General features: G+C 47.3%; 1 protein-coding gene and 1 long non-coding RNA gene across 8 annotated transcripts in view, besides 1 other annotated feature; both read left to right on the top strand.

Moving 5' to 3' along the window:
• Positions 1-23,724, top strand: part of SMIM7 (small integral membrane protein 7) — a 29,394-nt gene that overhangs the window by 2,799 nt on the left and 2,871 nt on the right. Inside the window, exons 4-7 of one of the 7 annotated variants that reach the window (XM_047439414.1) lie at positions 3,221-3,311; positions 4,385-4,741; positions 10,085-10,226; positions 10,546-11,198. In XM_047439414.1, the coding sequence (XP_047295370.1) occupies positions 3,221-3,311; positions 4,385-4,484 (191 nt within the window). In that variant the 3' untranslated portion in view covers positions 4,485-4,741; positions 10,085-10,226; positions 10,546-11,198. Of the gene's footprint in view, positions 1-3,220; positions 3,312-4,384; positions 4,991-10,084; positions 11,199-23,724 lie in introns of those variants that run through there. The other 6 variants (XM_047439417.1, XM_047439415.1, XM_047439418.1 and 3 more) reach the window with 6 other exon arrangements.
• On the top strand, positions 5,074-7,467 carry LOC124904647 (uncharacterized). Its single transcript, XR_007067149.1, has 2 exons — positions 5,074-5,451; positions 5,504-7,467. It is a non-coding gene; the product is annotated as an uncharacterized LOC124904647 (long non-coding RNA).
• Positions 18,793-19,292: an enhancer, noted in NCBI's record as "H3K4me1 hESC enhancer chr19:16748865-16749364 (GRCh37/hg19 assembly coordinates)". NCBI's record gives its function as "activates a minimal SCP1, AML or CMV promoter by ChIP-STARR-seq in naive H9 embryonic stem cells {active_cell/tissue: H9 hESC(naive)}" and the evidence as "EXISTENCE:reporter gene assay evidence [ECO:0000049][PMID:30033119]".

The raw sequence follows: 23,724 nt of genomic DNA, 5'->3' as shown, positions 1-23,724 counted from the left end.
ATTTGGCACAAAGTGGCAGGAGCATCAGTGACAGGGATGCCAGGCAGGGCACCAGTGCTCTGTCAGGAGCTTCCTGCTTTGCTGTGTCCAGTCTCCTTCCAGCCCAGGTGCTGCACCTGCTGCTTCCCCTGTGGGAGCTGCTCTTTGCCCTCCATCCTCTTTGCCTGGCTTAACTGTAATACCATAGTGGCTGCATTTGTTGAGAGCGTCATGCGTGCCAGGCAGTGTGCTAAGGTCTTCCTAGCTGCCTGACACCCCTATTGACACAAGAGGGAATGCACATAGATAGTGCAGGGATGGTCCCAGGTCACCAGGTCACCTGTGCAGAAGGACAGAGGCAGGATTTGAGCTCACATTTGTTAAACTGCCCATGTTTGAGGTCAGAACTTGGAGCTCTGGCACTTCCTCAGAAAGCCTGTTTTTTGTTTTTTTGTTGTTTTTTTTTTTGAGATGGAGCCTCTCTCTGTTGCCCAGGCTGGAGTGCAGTGGCACCATCTCAGCTCCCTGCAATCTCCGCTTCCTGGGTTCAAGCAATTCTCCTGCCTCAGCTTCCCTATTAGCTGGGATTACAGGCACCCACCACCATGCCCAGCTAATTTTTGTATTTTTAGTAGAGATGGGGTTTCGCCATGTTGGCCAGGCTGGTCTCGAACTCCTGACATCAGGTGATCTGCCCTCCTTGGCCTCCCAAAGTGCTGGGATTACAGACTTGAGCGACGGCACCCGGCTGGAAAGGCTTTTTTTTTACCTCCCACCCTTCCCCATGCACATGCCATGTTGGGTCTCTGCAGTGTGTATTCCCAGGACACCCAAACTTTCCCACCAGAGCAGTCACATGTGAATATTTGTTTAGTATTTCTCCTCCCCATATGCTTGTTGGGGCAGAGCCACCGGTCTTTGTTTCTTTCTGTATCCCCTGTATACTGCTGTTGCCTGGAATGAGTAACCTTTTTTTATTTTTTGAGACAGAGTCTCACTCTGTTGCCCAGGCGTGCAGTGGCGTGATCTCAGCTCACTGCAGCCTCCACCTCCTGGGTTCAAGTGATTTTCGTGCCTCAGCCTCCCGAGGATTTGGGATTACAGGCACGCGCCACCACGCCCTGCTAATTGTTTTGTAGTTTTAATAGAAACGTGGTTTCACGATGTTAGCCAGGCTGATCTCAAACTCGCGACCTCAGGTGATCCACCTGCCTCGGCCTCCCAAAGTGCTGGGATTACAGTTGTGAGCCACTGCACCCGGCCTGGAATGAGTAACGTTTGATTGGCATCTGTTGATGGTGGGAGGTCCTGTTTTCACGATCCTTCGCTAGGGGAAGGGTCTTGCTGAGCAGCGCCTCTCAAAACTTCCTGGAAACAGACCAAGCATTTAATGTTTCTAGTCTGTGCTGGATCAGCCCTGTATACAGGTTGTGCTGCACGTGACTAATCCTGTCGGCTAGATAATACTAGGCTCGTCTAAACCGTTTTCAGCAAGATGGTGTGTTCAGCACAAGCTCGGATGGAGCAGGGATGTCAGGTTGTCATCCCTGAAAAAGTAGAAATTTCTGGGCTTGTGTTGTGTATGCTGTACTTACCATGCAGCCCCAGTCTGCAGATACTTCGGGTAGCACCCTTGTAGATCACCTAATCTGGAGCCATTCTTTTTTTTTTTTTTTTTTTTTTTTTGAGATGGAGTCTTGCTGTGTCACCCAGGCTGGAGTGCAGTGACACCATCTCAGCTCACTGCAATCTCTGCCTCCCAGGTTCAAGTGATTCTCCTGCCTCAGCCTCCTGAGTAGCTGGGATTACAGTCATGCACCACCACACCCGGCTAACTTTTGTATTTTTAGTAGAGACGTGGTTTCACCATGTTGGCCAGGCTGGTCTCGAACTCCCGACCTCAGGTAATCTGCCTGCCTCGGCCTCCTGAAGTGCTGGGATTACAAGTGTGAGCCACCATGCCTGGCCTAATCTGGACCCATTCTTTTCATTCTGGAGGGCTTGAGAGGGAGAGTGATTGACTGGAAACCCTGGAAGAAGGGTCTAGAACCCAGGTCTCTGGAGTCTTCACGTACTAAATTGCCTTCCCTCGGAGGGGTTTCTGTTCCTTGGCATTCAAGGGGACCAGAGTAAGTCATCACCAAGAAACACCTTCCCTTTCACTTGCCTGAATTAGGATGCTTTCAGTTACAAACACTGCAAACCCAGCTCAAAGTGGTTAAAGCAAATTGAAACATCCAACAGAATTGTTTTCAGGCACCCTGGGTTTAGGTGTCAAACCAGTCCTTCAAGATTAGGGTTGGGGTTGGAGTTGGGGTTAGGGTTAGGGTTAGAGTCAGTATCTGACTCTCTGCAGCTCTCAATTCCCCTTTCTTTTATGTTGGTTTTACTGTGAGACTGGTTAGGGTTGGCAAAGATGACCCCAGAGCAGGGGTTGGCATGTTTTTCTGTAGAGGGCCACATAGTAAATATCTGAGGGCTTTGCGGGCCATATGGTGTCTGTCTGGCACAACAATGTGACTCAGCTCTGCTGTTGTAGTACAAAAGCAGCAGGACATGATATGTAAATGAATGGGTATGGCTGTGTGCCATAAAACTTTATTCATTGACACTGAGATTTGAATTTCTTGTAATTTTTGTGTCTCACAAAATAGTCTTCTTTCTTTTTTTTTTAATGTAAAAACCAGCCGGGTATGGAGACTCATGCCTGTAATCTCAACACTTTGAGAGGCTTAGGCGGGAGGATCACTTGAAGCCAGGAGTTCAAGACCCACCTGGGGAACATAGCAAAACCCCATCTTTATATTTTAAAAAAAAGTAAAAACTATTAGCTCATAGGCCATCCAAAAACAGGTGGAAGAGGCTGCTGGATTTGGCCTGTGGGCACTGAGCTTACTGAGCTTACATCTTCCCAGCTCAGTAAGCCTGGCAGAAGGTATCTCTTTCCCAGTAGTTGGGGGAAAAGTCCCAGGGTGGACTCTCATTGGACAGACTTGGGTCACATGCCCCTTCTTGAGCCAATCAGAGGCAGAGGGGCTTGGTGCTTTCAGGGGATTGGTCAGTGGTAGACACAGCCTGATGAGGGTAGGGAAGAGGGAGAAACCAAAAGGAAAAGCCACACTGTTGCCGAAGTTGGAGGCAGCAAGCGCCGGGTGGGTGGAAGTCACAAAAATCCACTGCTGAGGTGGCAGTAGGGATGGGATGTTAGCTGTGCCATAAAAGTGCTTTCTGATTCTTCCAGGTGACAACATCCGGGAATTCTTGCTGAGCCTCAGATACTTTCGAATCTTCATCGCCCTGTGGAACATCTTCATGATGTTCTGCATGATTGTGTGAGTCCAGCCTGCCCTTTCCTTTCACTGTCGTCTCTTAGTCTCCTTCTCCAGGGTGACCCACCTGATGGTCATTCTCTGTCTTTTCAGTCATCACTCTTGTATCCTGGTTTCTGTTTTCTTTATTTTTTGTTTTGTTTGAGATGGAATCTTGCTCTGTCGCCTAAACTGGAGTGCAGTGGTGCGATCTGGGCTCACTGCAACCTCGGCCTCTTAGGTCTAAGCGATTCTCCTGCCTCAGCCTCCCGAGTAACTGGGACTACAGGTGCGTGCCACCACACACGGCTGATTTTTTGTATTTTTAGTAGAGACGGGGTTCCATCGTGTTATCCAGGATGGTCTTGATCTCCTGACCTTGTGATTCGTCCACCTTGGGCTCCCAAAGTGCTGGGATTACAGGAGTGAGCCACTGTGCACGGCCCTGTTTTTTTTGTTTGTTTGTTTTTGTTTTTGAGATCGAGTCTTGCTCTGTTGCCCAGGCTGGAGTGCAGTGGCGTGATCTCGGCTCACTGCAACCTCTGCCTCCCTGCTTCAAGCGATTCTCCTGCCTCAGCCTCCCGAGTAGCTGGGATTACAGGTGCCCACCACCACACCTGGCTAATTTTTGTATTTTTACAAGAGACAGGGTTTCATCATGTTGGTCAGGCTGGTCTTGAACTCCTGACCTCATGTGATCCACCTGCCTCGGCCTCCCAAAGTGCTGAGATTACAGATGTGAGCTACCACACCCGGCCCTGCTTTCTGTTTTCAAAATAAGTAAGTGAGGGAACCAGTATCTGAAGGGGTTAAACTCTGTCCCTGTGTCCCCACCAAACCGGGCTGGAACTTTTATTGGAACATGGAGTTCTCCAGCCCCCGGCTATGCCCGGCACCTCTGCAGGGGCTGCCAGGAGATGCCGTCCCTGAGCCCATGGCCCTGTCACGTCTCACCAGTTCTTCTGCATCTGCCGAGGTGGAAAATATGGTTTAAATGTCCAGCACACTGCCAGATCCTGCTCCACCTGGGCTGGAAGCCAGTAGAAATGTATTCAGACTTTATTGTTTTAAATTCTGGCTTTTCATTTTCTCATTAGGCTGAGAAAACTCAAGCAGATTGCCTTTCCATCTAGCACTGGGGCCATAACTCTGATACTACTGTTAACGAATTGTGAGATTTGCTGTAAATGGATTTAGGAAAAGACACGACGGGAGAATCTGGTGTTCTTGGCCTCTGTGGGTCCATCCCTGTATGCTTCCCCCAGAAAGAGAGAGGACAAAAAGTTGTCTGTCCTGAGTGATTGAGACTCCGAATGTGGGGTTGCTGTCCAGTCTGCGTGCCACCCCAGTGGCTGTTTGCGAAGATGCTTCCAGGACATAGGAGATCTGGGGAGGATGGCATTTCACCCTCATCACAAGGACCGTGATGTATTCCCAGGAAGACTGTTGCCAAGGTATCCTACCTGGCAGAGAGGATCTGAGAGCATGTATGAGACTTGCCTAGGAACAAAGAAGGCTTGTGAGGAGATCAAGGAACTTACATGAAATTGTAGGAACGGCCAGGGGCAGTGGCTCAGGCCTGTAATCCCAGTACTTTGGGAGGCCAAGGTGGGAGAATTGCTTGAGCCCAGGAGTTCAAGACCAGCCTGGGCAGCATGGTGAAACCCTGTCTTTACCAAAAATAAAAAAATTAGCCGAGTGTAGTGGCGCCTGCCTATAGTTCCAGCTCCTCGGGAGGCTGAGGTGGGAGAATCACTTGAGCCCTGGAGGCAGAGGTTGCAGTGAGCTGAGATCCTGCCACTGCACTCCAGCCTGGGCAACAGAAGAAGACCCTGTCTCCAAACAAATAATAATAAATCAAGACCTAAAGGACAAGAAGACGTTTGCCATTTGCAGAGCTGGAGAAAAGCATGGTGGCACAGGAAGTGGCATGTGCAAAGGTCCTGGGGCAGGGAAGAAGTCAGCATTCTTCCCTCATTCTCGTCTTTGCAAAGGTCCTGGGACAGGGAAGAAATCAGCATGCTTCCCTCATTCTCGTCTTTGCAAAGGTCCTGGGGAAGGGAAGAAGTCAGCATGCTTCCCTCATTCTCGTCTTTGCAAAGGTCCTGGGGCAGGGAAGAAGTCACTATGCTTCTATGCTTCTCTCATTCTCGTCTTTGCAAAGGTCCTGGGGCAGGGAAGAAGTCAGCATGCTTCTCATTCTCATCTTTGCAAAGGTCCTGGGGCAGGGAAGAAGTCAGCATGCTTCTCATTCTCATCTTTGCAAAGGTCCTGGGGCAGGGAAGAAGTCAGCATGCTTCTCTCATTCTCGTCTTTGCAAAGGTCCTGGGGCAGGGAAGAAGTCAGCATGGTTCTCATTCTCATCTTTGCAAAGGTCCTGGGGCAGGGAAGAAGTCAGTGTGCTTCTCTCATTCTCGTCTTTCCTGTGCACCTGCTTCATCATCCTCTCCTGTTTGACCAGCATCTTCACTCCCTCATCTGCTAGTCTGTGACCAGAACAGCAGCCTCGGGCATCCTCCCAGCTCAACTTTCCAAGACCTGCATAGTCAGTAGCCCAGGGTCCTGATTTTGTTTCCTGGGGCAGAGTCTGATTGACCCACCTTGGTGTCACTCTGGTCCATTTGGGGTGGGGGTTCTTGATTCTGCCATAACCACTTAGGTCAAGGGTCATCAGACCACAGGCCAAATCTCCCCACTGCCTGTTTTTGTGAATGAACTTCGCAAAAGTTCATGTGTGTGGCTGCTTCTGTGTCACAGCGGTGGAGTTGAGTTGTGTGACAGAGATGACATGGCTTGCAGAGCCAGAACTGTTAGTAAACAGTCACCCATTACAGAGAAAATGTGCCAACCTCTGACCCAGGCCAACTCTTTCACTGGGGGCCATGGGTGAGAGAAGATTCTCTCAAGAAAGGGCCCTCTCAGGGAGGTAGTGACTGGCTTTCCCAGGATATTTAAAAACTGGAAATCACCTAAGTGTCCAAGAACAGGGGAAGGATCAGGTAACTTGAAGGATGCCCATGTGACTGGCTGTCACAATACCATCACTGATGATGTGCCAGAAGGTTCTGTCTGCATGGGGAAATGAAACGTTCTGAAAGTGAAGAAGGCCGGAGGGTACTATGTCTGTGCAGCCTAACTTCAGCTGTGTAATGTGCATGCAGTAACCATGGATAAACCTTAAATGAGTGCCTTAAGTATGGGAGTGAAACACTGTTTAGCCAGGGAGTTGGAAGGATCCACTCCAGATGGGGTAGAGAGGTGACCCTGTGGCAGTTGCTGAGGAAATTGGCAGAGCCTGGGCATGGTTCAATATTCCGTGTGCCTATTTCTTCTTTTTTTTTTTTTTTTTGAGGTGGAGTCTTGCTCTGTCACCCAGACTGGAGTGCAGTGGCACAGTCTCAGCTCACTGCATCCTGCATCTCCCAGGTTCAAGTGATTCTCCTGCCTCAGCCTCCCAAGGAGCTGAGACTACAGGCACGCACCACCACACTTGGCTAATTTTTCTATTTTTGGTAGAGATGAGATTTCATCCTGTTGACCAGGCTGGTCTCGAACTCCTGACCTCAAATGATTCACCTGCCTCGGCCTCCCAAAGTGCTGGGATTATAGGCGTGAGCCACCGTGCCCAATCTCCCTGTGCCCACTCTTGTGTTGTTTGAGCTTTGGAAAGTTTAAGAAGTTATGAAAAGTCTGAAATAGGGGAGAAACGTCCCTGAGTATTTAGGGATCAGTAGCACTGTCATCTATAACTTACATTGAAACACATCAAAAATACGGATAAATGGTTAGATAGATGGATAGGTATGTGGTACAGCAAAGTGTTAATTGCAGAATGTAGGTGGTGGCAGTGTGTTTCAACACAACTCTTCTGTGTGTTGAAATTTTCATAAAATAACAAGAGGAAAAGTTAGGGAGAAAATGAACCATGGAGAGGTTTTACAAGTAAAAGGCGGAAGTCTGTCTTCACAATCCGGTATTTTATAGAATATTCACAGGATTATGCAGCCGCTATCTCTATCCAATTTCAGAACATTTTCATCAACACAGAAAGAAACCGCGTCCCCATTGGCAGTCACGCCCCATTTCCCCTCCCTTAGTCCCTGGCAACCACTCGTCGGCTTCCTGTCTCTGTGGATTTGCCTCATGTGGACAGTTTATATAAATGGAGTCATACACTGCATGGCCTTTTGTGTCTAGCTCCTCTCACTCAGCATCATGTTTTTGAGGTTCATCCACGTTGTAGCCTGGAGCAGTGCTTCATTCCTTTTCATGGCAGAATCATTCTCTTGTATGACTATTCCCCAGTTTTCCATCTGTCAGTTGGTGGACAGTTGAAATGTTTGTATTTTTTAGCTATTATGAAAGTGGTGACAAGAACATTCATGTACAAGTTTTTGTACAGATTTATGTTTTTAGTTATGAGCTATATAGGAGTGAAATTGCTGGGTTATATGATCACACTACGTTTATAATTTTCTTTTTTTTGGAGACAGAGTCTCGCTCTGTTGCCAAGGCTGGAGTGCAGTGGCACGTTCTCAGCTCACTGCAACCTCCACCTCCCGGGTTCAAGTGATTCTCCTGCCTCAGCCTCCTGAGTAACTGGGGTTACAGGTGTGCACCACCATGCCTAATTTTTTGTATTTTTAGTAGAGACGGGGTTTCACCATGTTGTCCAAGCTGGTCTTGAATTCCTGACCTCATGATCCACCCACATCGGCCTCCCAAAGTGCTGGGATTATAGGCGTGAACCACTGCGCCTGGCTGAAACAGGGTTTTACCACGTTGGCCAGGCTGGTCTCGAACTCCAGACCTCAAGTGATCCACCCACCTCAACCTCCCAAAGTGCTGAGATTAAAGCCGACCTGTGTTTATCCTTTTGAGAAAACACCAGAGTGTTTTCCAAAGTAGCTACGACATTTTACATTCCTACCTGCAGCCTACGAGGGTTACACTTTCTCCGTATCCTTGCCAACTCTGTTACCGTTAATCTTTTGACTGTGGTCATCCTAGTAGGTATGAAAGTTTTTTGTTTGTTTTTGAAACAGAGTCTCACTCTGTTGCGCAGGCTGGAGCTGGAGTACAGTGGCACAATCTCAGCTCACTGCAACTTTTGCCTCCTGGGCTCAAGTGATCCTCTGGCCTCAGCGTCCTAAGTAGTGGGACTATGGGTGTGCACTACCACACCTGGCTAATTTTTGTACTTCTTGTCTCTACAAGAAGTACTGGGTTTCGCTATGTTGCCCAGGCTGGTCCAGAACTCCTGGGCTCAAGTGATCCACCCACCTCAGCCTCCTAAAGTGCTGGGATTACAGGCATGAGCCACTGTGCACAGCCAGTTCGAAGGTTTTGATTCACATTTCCCTGATGGTTAATGATATTGAACATATTTTCATGTACCTATTGGCCATTTGTCCACCTCCTTTGAGGAAATGTCTTCTTAAGATTCTCTGCCCTTTTTAAAAATTGGGTTATTGCTGATCCATAAGGGTTCTTTGTGTATTCTCGTTATCAGTCCATTATCACGTGCGTATTTTGCAAGCATTTTCTCCCATTTTGTATGTTGTCTTTTCACTTTCTTGATGGTGTCATTTTAAGCACAAAAGTTTTTTATTGTGAATGGCCAGGCATGGTGGCTCATGCCTGTAAACCCAGCACTTTGGGAGGCTGAGGCGGTTGGATCACTTGAGGTCAGGAGTTTGAGACCGGCCTGACCAACATGGTGAAACACCGTCTCTACTAGAAGTACAAAAATTAGCCAGGCATGGTGGCGGGTGCCTGTAATCCCAGCTACTCGGGAGGCTGAGGCATGAGAATCGCTTGAACCCAGGAGTCAGAGGTTGTAGTGAGCCGAGATCGCCCCACGGCACTCCACCCTGAGCAACAGAGTGAGAGTCCATCTCAAAAAAAAAAAAGTTTTTAACTGTGATGAAGTTGAGTTTATGTTTTTGTCTTTTTGTCACTTGTGCTTTGGGTATTATAGTAAGAAATCATTGTGTAACCCAAGGTTACAAAGATGTACACGTAAGTTTTCTTCCAAGAGTTTTGTAGTTTGGATTCTGGAGGATAGTTAGGTCTGTGACCTATTTTGAGTGAATTTTTTTATATGACATAAAGCAGGGGTCCAACTTTATTCTTTTGCATGTGGAAATCCAGCTGTTTCTGCACTCTTATTTTTTTCAGATAACCTTTTTATTTTGGAATGAGTTTAGATTTGTGGAAATGTTGCAAAGATAATACCGAAAGTTCCTGTATATATCTTTTGTTTAACAGCTGTACCGCTTTCCCTTATAGGGTGGTGGTGTTGGCTGTGCGGAGTGGCTCACGCCTGTAATCCCAGCACTTTGGGAGGCTGAGGCGGGTGGATCACTTGAGGTCAGGAGTTCGAAACCAGCCCAGCCAACATGGTGAAACCCCATTTCTACTAAAAATACAAAAATTAATCTGGCTTGGTGGCAGGCGCCTGTAATTGCAGCTACTCAGCAGGTTGAGGCAGGAGAATCGCTTGAATCTCGGATGCAGAGGTTGCAGCGAGCTGAGATCGCACCACTGTACTCCAGCCTGGGCGGCAGAGCCAGACTCTGTCTAAAAAAAAAAAAAGAGTATATTCTTCTTTTAACTGTGTAGTTCAGTATTGTTAATTATATTCACAGGTGGATCACAGGTTACTTTAAAAAATCAGACAATCATGTAAAATCATCTAAGTAATAGGTAATAGTCATGTAAAATAATCGCTGACAATATTTTTAGAACAGTCACCTCCTATCCTCACAGACATTTCTGCCCTCTGACTTCTCCAGGCTGTTCGGCTCTTGAATCCCAGCGATGAAACCAGGAACTCACTTTCCCGGGATGCCGAGTCTCCATTCCTCCATTCCTGATGACTTCAAGAATGTTTTTGACCAGAAAACCGACAACCTTCCCAGAAAGTCCAAGCTCGTGGTGGGTGGAAAAGTGTTCGCCGAGGTGTGCATGGTTTCCCAGCCACGTCCCTGTTTTCAAAGATAGTTTCACTTTGGTCTCTGAATTGAAATGCTGTCTACTGAAAGGGTTTCAGGAGCGTTTATGTAAGGGGCTGTGATGAAATTGCATTCCCCATAGATAAAAGAAAAATCATTTCTATCCAGAGATCTGAGCAGAAGGATTGGCTTGTTAGTTTAACACAGCCGTATTTTTGGACATTCAGTGTTACTTGCTGAGTCTGACAGCCTCTGGGCCCGGCCAGGGGCCCTGTTAACAAACTGCTTTCACATCCCAACAGGGTCTGCTTGGCCACTCAGTGCAGCTGCGATTAACCCTAAAGGCTTTAAGGAACGGGCCACCTGTAACAGAGACACCAGCCTTCCTGTATAGACACTAAATTGTTAGCAAGAGTGTTGAGCTAGTTCCTGGTGAAGTGTTTCCACAGAAGACATGTGGAGCAGTTGTGGGGATATTAAGGGAAACTTTCCTCTGCCTTGACCCCTTTGTTAAATAAAATGACTTTGGGAGCCATTCATTGTACAGTTGCAGGAATGAGAGTGATTTTATGATGTGGTACATTGGGACCATGTTCTAAAACCTTGGGTTTCTGAGTCTGCTTTTTGAGTAGGTGATTTTGAGGTTGAAAAACCAGGGGCCTTCATCTAGGAAATACAGCATTTTCCAGAAGCTTCTTTGAAAGGGAATCCTGGTTTTGTTGCCAAAATGAAACGCCCGGGGTTGGCGCTGAATCCCACAACTGTGTGATTTGCTTGTTGAGTTTTTTGTTGTCTGGTTTTTTTGTTTGTTTGTTTATACCAATAAGAATGAGCCTGAATGTTGGTGGTTTTTGAAATCCTGACTTGGAGGTAAACCTGGAGGAAGGAAAAAAAGTAAATATGCAGGCTTTTAGGACTGAGTAGCCTTGAAAATAAACCTCATTTCTAAAAAGGACCTTTTGTTTATACTTTTTTTTTTTTTTTAACCAAGAAGTCAATTTCCAACCTGAGTCCTTTTGAATTTACCCTGCTGGAAAAACCTAGGATTCATTTTGGAGGCCATGAGAAAGAAAAGAGTCAGTGGTAGAGTTTCCTTTTTGGATTTAGCTCAATAAATGATGGTCAAGAATTGGGCAAGTGGGGCTGCGCGCAGTGGCTCATACCTGTAATCCCAGCACTTTGGGAGGCCGAGGTAGGCGGATCACTTGAGGTCAGGAGTTCGAAACTAGCCTGGCCAACATGGTGAAATCGCATCTCTACTAAAAATAGAAAAATTAGCCAGATATGGTGGCACACGCCTATAATCCCAGCTACTCGGGTGGCTGAGGCACAAGAATTGCTTAAATCTGGGAGGCGGAGGTTGCAGTGAGCTGAGATTGAGCCACTGCACTTCAGCCTGGGTGAGACAATGAGATTCTGTCTCAAAAAAAAAAAAAAAAAAAGAATTGAGTAAGTGGAATTTTGACTGGAGCTGCTCCTGAAAGTATTGAAAGAGTCATTGCTAATGGTGGGCTCTTGCTAGACCAGGGTCAAGTCCACTTTTGCTGCCTCTCAGGTTGTGGAATTCTCCTTGATCACTTCTGCAATTCATTTCCTTGCCAAATCTCAGCCAAGCATCACCCCAAGGTCTGTAAGTAGCAGAGATCGGAGCTGCTGGGTCTGGCTTTGCTGAGGCCGGTGTCGCTGTCAGAACAGGCACGCCAAGATCTTGGCTGGGTCCCTCACAGGCCAGATGAATGGTGTGAAGAAACCTTCCTGCCTTATTCAGACTGGCGCGGAGGTCTCAATGAGGCGAGGCATTTGTCCATTATGGGGATGAATCGTGCTCTCAGAAGAGAATCCTGTCATTGAGGTTTTGTTTCAATAGTCCTCTTTTTCTCCAGAGAACTGTTGTCTCATTGTTAATAATAGCAGCGTGGCTTTTTCAGATGCTGGTTGGTGGCTGCTGTACATTTTAAAAATGGAATCTCATGGTTGTGTCTCTTAAGGAAGCTTTTCAAGAACTTTACTGGCACCAGAGGTTATCAGAGTTTGAAGTTTGGGTGCCTAGTGTCTCACAGTGTTTAAGCACTAATGTTCTGGGTCAGTTAGGTGTGAGTACAAATCCCATCTCAGCTCATTCTGAGAGGGACCTTGGCTAATTGCTTTCTCCTCTCCAAGCCTCAGTTTCCACATCTCTAAAATCGGCCTGCAAGTAGTGTGTGCCTAAGGTTGTTGTAAGTTTCAATGAACTCGAATGCGGCTGAGTGCCTGAGAGCACCTGTTGCTGTGGGTATCATCACCGTGTGTGTTTTCTGTCTTCTCATCCACTTTTCTTTGTGCAGTCTGCACACACACCATTAAAGGCTGATGACAGCATTTTTACGAATTGCAAACAGAGGCCAGCGCGGTGGCTCCCAGCACTTTGGGAGGCCGAGGCAGGTGGATCACGAGGTCAGGAGTTCAAGAACAGCCTGGCCAAGATGGTGAAACCCCGTCTCTACTAAAAATGCAAAAATTAGCTGGGTGTGGTGGCATGCCCCCTGTAATCCCAGCTACTCAGGAGGCTGAGGCAGAGAATTGCTTAAAAACCCAGGAGGTGGAGGTTGCAGTGAGCTGAGATCGTGCCAGTGCACTCCAGCCTGGGTGACAGAGCAAGATCTTCTGTCTCGGAAAAAAAAAAAAAAGTTACAAACAGACTGAGTGCAGTGAGAGGCTCACACCCTGCAATCCCAGCATTTTGGGAGGCCAAAGTGGGCAGGTCACCTGTGGTCAGGAGTTCGAGACCAACCTGGCCAACATGACAAAACCCCGTCTCTACTAAAAAATACAAAAATTAGCCAGGTGTGGTGGCGTGCGCCTGTAATCCCAGCTACTCAGGAGGCTGAGGCAGGATAATCACTTGAACCAGGGAGGCGGAGGTTGCAGCGAGCCGAGATCGCGCCATTGCACTCCAGCCTAGGCGACGAGCAAAACATCTCAAAAAAAAAAAAAAAAAAAAAAAACGCAAACAATTTCCAGCCTGGTAAACCTTTTCCTGTCTTCACCATCCCCATGCAGCATTTTCCATATTCCTGTATGTATGTTTTGAGAGTGGATAAGGAAGGATGAGTTCTGCTGTGTTCATTTCAGCATCATTTTCTTTACACTTGCTTTGTTGCTAGGAGGTGTTACAGTTCTCATTTTTACTTACGGTGCAGTGTCAGTAAATAGGTCCTTAGCCACCTTGTTGCTGGACTTGGATTATATTTTGTCCACTGTGATCAGGGCTGCCCCTGGCACCAGTGTTGTGATCTTCATTGGCTTCTATTGTGGCATTAGCTTCCTTGGGCAGATAACCATGGAGGGGTCCATAATATCCTTAAATACCATTGGTGTGGCTTTAAGTGGCTTTTGTTTGTTTTACTTTGCTTGAAAAAATTTTTTAGGCCTGGTACGGTGGCTCATGCCTGTAATCCCAGCACTTTAGGAGGCTGAGGTGGGTAGATCACTTGAGGCCAGGAGTTCAATACCAGCCTGGCCAATATGGTGAAACCCTATCTCTACTAAACATACATATATTAGCTGGGCATAGTGGCACATGCCTGTAGTCCCAGCTACTCAGGAGACTGAGGTAGAGGAATCACTTGAACTCGGGAGGCGGAGGTTACAGTGAGCCGAGTGGTGCACTTCAGCCTGAGTGACACAGTGAGACCCCTGTCTCAAAAAAGAAAAATTTTTTTTAAACTACTAATGCATATTCATTGAAGAAACTTATCAAATGCATACTTGCTAGAAGAGGAAAAATAAATCACCCATAGTCACATTCTCCGGAGACCATCACCCTAGGTACATATTCTTCCAACCTTTCTTCTGTGCATAATCATCTAGGTGTGGTGCTTACATTTTCTTTTGGCAGTGTTATCTTAGTATCTTCCAGCATGGTTTTCTCACCTGATACTGTAACCATACTTCCATATCCTCAAATGTGTTGTTTTCTAAAATAACTTTTTTTTTCTTTTTTTAGAGACAGAGTCTCACTTGGCCAGGTGCGGTGGTTCACGCCTGTAATCCCAGCACTTTGGGAGGCCGAGGCGGGTGGATCACGAGGTCAGGAGTTCGATGAAACCCCGTCTCTACTAAAAATACAAAAATTAGCCAGGTGTGGTGGCGCACGCCTGTAATCCCAGCTACTCAGGAGGCTGACGCAGGAGAATCTCTTGAACTTGGGAGGTGGAGGTCGCAGTGAGCCATGATCGCGCCGCTGCACTGCAGCCTGGGTGACAGAGTGAGACTCTGTCTCAAAAAAAAAAAAAAAAAAGATAAGGTCTCACTCTGTTGCCAAGGCTGGAGTGTGGTGGCGTGATGAGAGCTCACTGTAGCCACGATCCTCCCACCTCAGTCTCCCAAGTACCTAGGACCACAGGCATGTACCACAGGCTAATTATTTTTTTATTTTTATTTTTTGGGAGAGACAGGGTCTCCCTGTGTTGCTCAAACTGCTCTCAAACTCCTGGGCTCAACGAACCTCCCACCTTGGCCTCCAGTATTTCTGGGATTACAGGCATGAACCACAATATCATTCTTTTTTGTTTGTTTGAGACAGTCTCACTCTCGCCCAGGCTGGAGTGCGGTGGTGTGATCTTGGTTCACTGCAACCTCCACCTCCCAGGTTCAAGCAATTCTCATGCCTCAGCCTCCTGAATAGCTGGGATTACAGGTGCCTGCCCAGCTAATTTTTGTATTTTTACTGGAGACAGGGTTTCACCATGTTGGCCAGGCTGGTCTCAAACTTCTGCCCTCAAGTGACCCACCCACCTTGGCTTCCCAAAGTGCTGGGATTACAGGCATGAGCCACCGTGCTCAATCACAATATGATTCTTAATAACTGCAAATACGCCATTGTAAAGACATACCATGATTAATTTAACCAGTCCCCAGTTGATGGGCACTTGGTTTGTGTTCAGATTTTGTGTATTAGAAAACAAGGCTACAGGCTGGGAGTCACTGCCGAAGTGATAAGCTGTGGGTGGTGAATGCAGAGAAGGCCACAATGTACAGCACCTACCCTGGGAGTGTTCACTTGGGGTTCATGTTGGAACCCATTTTGCTTCCTCCACCATTGCACATTGAAGGAGAATGTATTTTTGCACGCGCTTCTCATTGCCCTTCATGTACATCTGCTCTAGGGCAGGAGTCAGCAAACTACAGCCCAGAGGGCATGTCTGGCCCACGGCTTGTTTTTGTAAATAAAGTTTTATTGGAGCCGGGTGCGGTGGCTCACAACTGTAATCCCCACACTTTGGGAAGCTGAGCCAGGCGATCCCTTATTAGCCTGACCGCTGTGGCAAAATCCTTTCTCTACTAAAAATACAAAAACTAGCCGGGTGTCGTGCTGCACGCTTATAGTCCAAGCTACTCAGGAGGCTGAGGCAGGAGAATTGCTTGAACCCAGGAGGTGGAGGTTGCAGTGAGCCGAGATTTTTCCACTGCACTCCAGCCTGGACGACAGAGCTAGACTGTCTCCAAAAGAAAAAGTTGTACTGGGACCGGGCACAGTGGCTCACGCCTGTAATCCTAGCACTTTGGGAGGCCAAGGTGGGCGGATCACCTGAGGTTGGGAGTTCGAGACCAGCCTGGCCAACATGGAGAAATGCTGTCTCTACTAAAAATGCAAAATTAGCCGAGTGTGGTGGTACAGGCCTGTAATCCCAGTTACTAGGGAGGCTGAGGCAGGAGAATCACTTGAACCTGGGAAGCAGAGGTTGTGATGAACCGAGATTGCACCATTGCACTCCAGCCTGGGCCACAAGAGTGAAACTCCATCTCAAAAAAAAAAAAAAAAAAAGTTGTATTAGAATCTGGCCACACCCCTTTGTGTGTGTATTACTTAGAATTGCTTTAGCAACCTCCATACTATAACTTCAAAGTGGAGTAGTGGCACAGAGACCATATGGCCTGCAGAATGGAAAATGTCACCTGTTTGGCCTCTTACCAGAAAAATTTGCCAACCGCTCAACTAGGGTGTGATGGAGAATCCCAAGGTGTCCCTTCCCTCCCAAAGCCACTCAGGGAATCATCTGTACCCTTGTGGCCTGCATTTTAACAAACATATACACAAACACATTTTTTAAATTTGCTAGAAATCTTCCCTCCCATTTTCAAGTGTGGTTAATCAATTGACCAAAACCCAGTTTTCTTTCTTTCTTTCTTTCTTTTTTTGAGACTCTGTCACCCAGGCTGGAGTGCAGTGGCGCAATCTCAGCTCACTGCAGCCTCCGCCTCCCGGGTTCAAGCGATTTTCTTGCCTCAGCCTCCCAAGTAGCTGGGACTACAGGCACCCACCACCACGCCTGGATAATGTTGGTATTTTTAGTAGAGATGGGGTTTCTCCATGTTGGCCAGGCTGGTCTCGAACTCCTGACCTCAGGTGATCCGCCCACCTCAGCCTCCTGAAGTTTTGGGATTACAGGCGTGAGCTGCTGCAACTGGCCTCTTTCTCTTGATAGTTAGACGAAAGACCCCTCTCAGGCTCCCTGAGACTCCTCAGAACAGCAGAACAGCAGCAGTGCGATGTTGGATAATGAGATCTGCTCTCTTCTGAAGTGGTTAGATTTGAAAAGCCAGCGAAGCTGTCATTAGCAAGGCATTTTCTTTTCATTTCAACCATTTCATTATATCCTTTACCAAATTTGAGTTTATGAAATATTTGACAGGCCTCCTGATGTTTTCCTATGTTGATGAAAGACGGATGCTGTTTGTGTAAAAGGAAAAGGCATGCTATAAAAAGAAAAAGAAGGATAAAAAGGGCCGGGCAGGGAGGCTCATGCCTGTAATCCCAGAAGTTCGAGACCAGCCTGGCCAACATGGTGAAACCCCATCTCTACTAAAAATACAAAAATTAGCCAGGCGTGGTGGCACGTACCTGTAATCCCAGCTACTTGGAAGGCTGACAGGAGAATCGCTTGAACCTGGGAGGCAGAGGTTGCAGTGAGCAGAGATCGTGCTGCTGCTAAAAAACACAAAAATTAGCTGGGCGTGGTGACGGGTGCCTGTAATCCCAGATACTCAGGAGGCTGAGGCAGGAGAATCGCTTGAACCCGGAAAGTGGAGGTTGCATTGAGCTGAGATTGAGCCATTGCACTCCAGCCTGGGCAACAAGAGCAAAACTCCATCTCAAAAAAAAAAAAACAAAAAACCGAAAGATTGCCTGAGACTGGGTAATTTATAAACAAAAGAGGTTTAATTGACTCACAGTTATGCACGGCTGGGGAGACCCCAGGAAACTTACAGTCATGGCGGATGGGGAAACAAACATATCCTTCTACCCATGGTGGCAGGTAGGAGAAGAATGAGAGCTGAGTGAAGTGGATGCCCCTTATAAAAACATCAGATCTCGTGAGAACTTACTATCACTAGAATAGCATGGGGGAACCACCCCATGATTCAGTTACCTGCCCCCAGGTCTCTGCCACCACACATGGGGATTATGGGAACTACAACTCAAGATGAGATTTGGGTGGGGACACAGGCAAATTATATCAGCTGTTGTGCTCATTAGTTTGTATATCATCCTTGGCTCCTTTAGCACTATAAGGGCAGGATTGAGTCCTTGCAACAGAAACCATTCAGCCTGCAAAGCTGAACCTATTTACTTTCTGACCCTTTATGGAAAAGTTTACTGATCTCTGGACTAGACAGTTTTTTAAAAATGACATCTTATGACCGGGCGCAGTGGCTCACGCCTGTAATCCCAGCACTTTGGGAGGCGGAGGCGGGCAGATCATGAGGTCAGGAGATCGAGACCATCCTGGCTAACACGGTGAAACCCCGTCTCTACTAAAAATACAAAAAATTAGCCGGGCGAGGTGGTGGGCGCCTATAATCCCAGCTACTCGGGAGGCTGAGGCAGGAGAATGGCGTGAACCTGGGGGGGCGGAGCTTGCAGTGAGCCGAGATCACGCCACTGCACTCCAGCCTGGGCGACAGAGCAAGACTCCGTCTCAAAAAAAAAAAAAAAAAAATGACATCTTACTAGTGGATCCTGTTTCCTGTTCATTGGTGTCTAGTTTACATTATTATCTTGGCAGTTGGTGGTAAACCTAGGCAAAAGAGTGTGGACTGTGCCAAGGGAACTGTGGAAATGTTAGGGGAAATAAAGCTTTACATCTAATTAGAGTACATTGTGTGCATGAGAAAGAAGGTGGAAAAGGTGGTTGCAGCAGAAAGCAAGTTGGAGGTGTAGCTCAGACCTGGGTTCTGTGTCTTGGCCCTTCTGCACCTCCACGTCCTCATCTGTGATATGGGTACAGTGAAGGAGACAGTCTTGATATGGGCCTATAACATGCCTGATGCTGGGCAGCCACTCAGTAGTTGTCACTGTTTTTATTAATGTTGTTGCTTTTATTAAAAGACTTTCTCAGCTGGGTTTTGCAAGCCTTCAGTGAGATGGTGGTATATTAGTCAGCTAGAGCTGTGTATTAGGCCATCTTGCATTGCTATAAAGAAATGGGTAATTTATAAGAAAAGAGGTTAATGGCCAGGCACGGTGGCTCATGCCTGTAATCCCAACACTTAGGGAGGCTGAGGTGGGTGGATCACCTGAGGTCAGGAGTTCAAGGCCAGCCTGGCCAATGTGGTGAAACCCTGTCTCTACTAAAAAAAATTACAAAAATTAGCCGGGCATGGTGGCGGGCACCTGTAAATCCAGCTACTCAGGAGTCTGAGGCAGGAAAATCACCTGAACCCGGGAGGCAGGGGTTGCAGTGAGCCGAGATCGTGCCATTGCACTCCAGCCTGTGCAGCAAGAGTGAAGCTCTGTCTCAAAAAAAAAAAAAAAAAAAGAAAAAAGAAAAGAGGTTTAATTGCCTCACGGTTCTTTTGAGACAGAATCTCTGTCATCCAGGCTGGAGTGCAGTGGCGTGATCCCAGCTTACTGCAACCTCCGCCTCCGGCTTTAAGTGATTCTTCCTGCCTCAGCCTCCTGAGTAGCTGAGATTACAGGTGCGTACCACCACGCCTGGCTAATTTTTGTAATTTTTTTTTTTTTAGTAGAGGTGGGGTTTCACCACGTTGGCCAGGTTGGTTTTGAACTGCTAACCTCAAGTGATCCACCCACCTCTGCCTCCCAAAGTGCTGGGATTACAGGCGTGAGCCACCACAACCAGCCTCCCTTTTGTCAGCTTATCACCCCACCCTTATGACCTTATTTAACCTTAATTACCTCCCAAAGGCCCTGTCTCCAAATACAGTCCCTGTTGGAGGTCAGAGCTTCAGCATATGAATTTAGTCATGGGTAGGTGACACAATTCAGTCCATAACAGATGGTCAAAGTCTGACCCATAGTGTTCAACAGCTGCTGTTAGTTACTCTCCTTGGCTAGTAGTATGCCTTGAGGCATTAAAGAACAAACACACAAAGCTAGTGTGGTGTAGGAGGCACCCTGAGAAGTTCTGTGATGGGCTCTGTCTCCTGGTGCTGCAGAGGAAGGCATTTGTGTGTAAGTGACTGGTGGCCTCAACCATGGGAGGGTCTCAGATTTCAACATCCTCCTAAATCCCTTGGGGGTGTTTTTGTGGAATTCAGATTCTGCCTAACAGGCTGGGGAGGTACAGGCTAAGGGCCTACATTTCTTTTCTTTTTCTTTTTTGAGACACAGTCTCACTTTGTCACCCAGGTGAGGCGATCATGGCTCAATGTAGCCTCAACCTCCCCCAGGCTCAAGCGATCCTCCCACCTCAGCCTCCTGGGACTACAGGCACATACCACCACAGCTGGCTAATGTATTTTTTTGTAGAGACGAGGTTTCACTATGTTGCCCAGGCTGGTCTTGAACTCCTGGGCTCAAGTGATCCTCCTGCCTTGGCCTCCCAAAGTGCTGGGGTTATAGGTGTGAGCCACCACACCTGATCAAGGACCTATGTTCCTAAGGAGCTCCCTGGTAATGCTAATACTGCTGGTCCACGGACCACACTTTTGAGTAGTGAGGGCCTGTGTTCAGCAGCACAGTAGCCAGGAGCCACGTGTGGCTGTTTCAGTCTCCGTCTTAGTTAAATAAAACTAGAAAATCCAGTGCCTCAGTGACTGTAATTGCATTGCATGGAGGAAAGTTCTAATTGGGCAGTGCCACATCTTAAAGGACCGAATGATCCACTTTTTCTTTACTTTTAAATTTTCTTTCTTTATATTTTTAGAGACAGGGTCTTGCTCTGTAGCTGAAGCTGGAGTGCAGTGGCACTATCTTAGCTCACTGCAGCCTAAACCTCCTGAGCTCAAGCTGTCCTCCCACATCAGCCTCCTGAGTAGCTGGGACTACAGGCACATGCTACCACACCCAGCTATTTTTTTATTTTTTTTGTAGAGATGGGGTCTCACTATGTTGCCCAGGCTGGTCTTGAACTCCCAGGCTCAAGCAGTCCTCCCACCTCAGCCTCCCAAAGTGCCAGGATTATAGGCATGGGCCATTGTGCCTGGCTAGCTTTTTCTTTAAAGCCGTATTCGTGTCCTCTTGCCACTGTAAAAAATAACCACAAACTTCGTGGTGTCAAACAAAACAAATTTAGTCTGGCTAACATGGTGAGACCTTGTCTCTACTAAAAATACAAAAACTTAGCTGGGTGTGGTGGCGCATGCCTGTAATTCCAGCTACATGGGAAGCTGAGGCAGGAGAATCGCTTGAACCCGGGAGGCAGAGGTTGCAGTGAGTCGAGGTCATACCACTGTACTCCAGCCTGGGTGACAGAGTGAGACTCTCAAAAAAAAAAATTCCACAAATTTATTCTTTACAATTCTGGAAGTCAAAAGTACAGAATGGGTCTCTGTAGGCTAGCATCAATGTGTCCGCATAGCTGGTTCCTTCTGGAGGCTCTCAGGGAGAAATTTTCCTCGCCTTCTCCAGCTTTTAGAGGCTGCCCACATCCTTGGTTCACGGCCTCTTCCTCCATCTTCCAGGCAACCAATAGCCTGTCAAGTCTTCCTCATGACACCCTGTCTCCTAATTCTGACTCCTCTACCTCTTTCTTCCCCATTTAAGGACGCTTGTGACTCCATTGGGGCCACCAGGAGAATCCAGCAGTCAGTTGATGAGTTATGTTAATTTCACCTGTACCCTTAATTATCCCTTGCCATGACATATTTACAGGTTCTGGGGATTGGGATGGGGACATTTAGGGGAGTAGGGGCAAGTACTCTGCTAACACAGGGTCAAATTGTGTATACATACATATATATATATATATATATATATTTTTTTTTTTTTTTTTGAGACAGGGTCTTGCTCTGTTGCCCAGGCTGGATTGCAGTGGTACAATCTGGGCCCATTGCAACCTCTCCCTCCCAGGTTTAAGCGACTCTCCTGCCTCAGCTTCCCAAGTAGCTGGGATTACAGGCGCCTGCCACCAGGCCCAGCTAAATTTTTTGTCGTTCTCTTAGAGATGGGATTTCACCATGTTGGCCAGGCTGGTCTCAAACTCCTGACCTCAAGTGATCCGCCCGCCTCGGCCTCTCAAAGTGCTGAGATTACTGGCGTGAGCCACTGCACCTGGCTACTCTCTTGATGTTGCCTTCTGTGTTGGGGCACAACTCTGCACCTTTGTTTCTGGGAAGCTCCATTGGCTAGGGTGAGTTTGTTGTTTTTTTCCTTCAGATCCACCCTCCTAGTTGGTTTTGGACATCAGCACCTTGGTCCTCTCCTGTCTGCTCTTTGGGGAAATGGCTTATACTTGATTTGGTTCAGAGTCTGGGAACCCTGAGCTCTGGGCTGGACTTTTTTTTTTTTTTTTTTGAGATGGTGTCTCACTCTGTCACCCAGGCTAGAGTGCTGTACTGTCTTGTCAGCTCACTGCAACCTCCGCCTCCCAGGTTCGCGTGATTCTCCTGCCTCAGCCTCCTGAGTAGCTGGGATTACAGGCATGTACCACCATGCCTAATTTTTTTTTTTTTTTTTTAGGAGGGATGGGGTTTTGCCATCTTGGCCAGGCTGGTCTCAAACTCCTGGCCTCAAGTGATCCACCTGCCTCAGCCTCCCAGAGTGCTAGGATTATAGGCATGAGCCACTGTGCCCGGCCACGGGCTGGACTCTTTAGCCAGCCCCAAATCCCAGCCACATGACTTTGGCTGGGTCACTCCTTTGAGGCACGAAGACCACGTCACTTGGTTGCATGCTTGGGTGCCCAGTGGGACAGGTATGAGAAGACCCACTCAAGAGTGGTGAGAAAGAAGGCTGGCTAGGAACCCAGGTGGGGCAGGTTGTCTGCACGTTATGGCTATTATGAGCAGTGCTGCTATGGACATTTACATGTACGCACGTCTTTCTGTGAGTATATGTTTTCAGTTTTCTTGCCTTTTTTTTTTTTTTTTTTTTTTTTTTAAGACAGAGTCTCAGTCTGTTGCCCAGGCTGGAGTGCAGTGGCACGATCTTGGCTTACTGCAACCTCCACCTCCTGGATTCAAGTGGTTCTCCTACCTCAGCCTCCCAAATAGCTGAGACTCCAGGCATCCACCACCACACCTCCCTAATTTTTTGTATTTTTAGTACAGACAGGGTTTTGCCATGTTGGCTACGCTGGTCTCAAACTCCTGAGCTCAAGTGACCCGCCTACCTCAGCCTTTCAAAGTGCTGGGATTACAGGTGTGAGCCACTGCACGCAGCCATGTTTTCAGTTTTCTTGAGGGAGATTCCTAGGAGTAGAATTGCTGGGCTGTGTGGTAACTTCCAGGCCTCCTTAAAGCTTTAGCCTGGACTGGGTAGAGCATGGTTTCCACTGCATTCTCTTAGTCACAGTGAGTTGCAGGTTCACCCCAGCGTCAGTGGCGGGCGGGAAGTGGGGATGACACAAGGACCTGAGTGTCCAAGGGGGCTTCATGGAGCCCTCATGTGAAGTCCCCAGCATGGACCCTGACACATCGTAGGTCCTCAACAAATGTCACTCCCTGTTGTCACTCTGTTTAGTACTAAGAATAATGATATAAAACTGGGACAGTAAGGAAAACACAAACTGTTGGGACCTATATCTGAATCTATTAGTCTGCCTAATAGAAAAGCCACCATCAGGATTTTGGAGATTACAAGCTCACTTTAGATTAGCCATACTGGAGTCAGCCCTGGAGGCTCCCAGAGATCAGAACAATCCCAGCGCTTGACAGGATGGCTGGGAAACAATACATATGAATGCCGGAAAATGCAGAACTAATCTAGGAAAAAGTGTAAGAAGAAAATAAACATCATCTGTCATTCTATCTATCAGAGATAACTGCTGTCAATATTTTGGTTTCCTTCCAATATTTTTTCTATTCACTCTGTGCATAAGTATGTATATTTTAATAAAAGTATAATTAAGATCACAATGTATATAGTTTATATGCTGCATTTTATTATTTATTGGGAGCGTTTCTCCATCAATAGTGGCTTTATTTTTGTTGTAAGAGACGGGATCTTGCTCTGTCACCCAGGCCAGAGTGTAGTGGCACAGTTGTAGCTCACTGCAGCTTCAAACTCCTGGGTTCAACCGTCTCAGCCTCCCAGT

This window comes from Homo sapiens, chromosome 19, assembly GCF_000001405.40.
Source record: "Homo sapiens chromosome 19, GRCh38.p14 Primary Assembly".
NCBI lineage: Eukaryota > Metazoa > Chordata > Mammalia > Primates > Hominidae > Homo > Homo sapiens.
The sequence above is the reverse complement of the archived record's forward strand: the minus strand, read 5'-3'. Positions and strand labels throughout refer to the sequence as shown.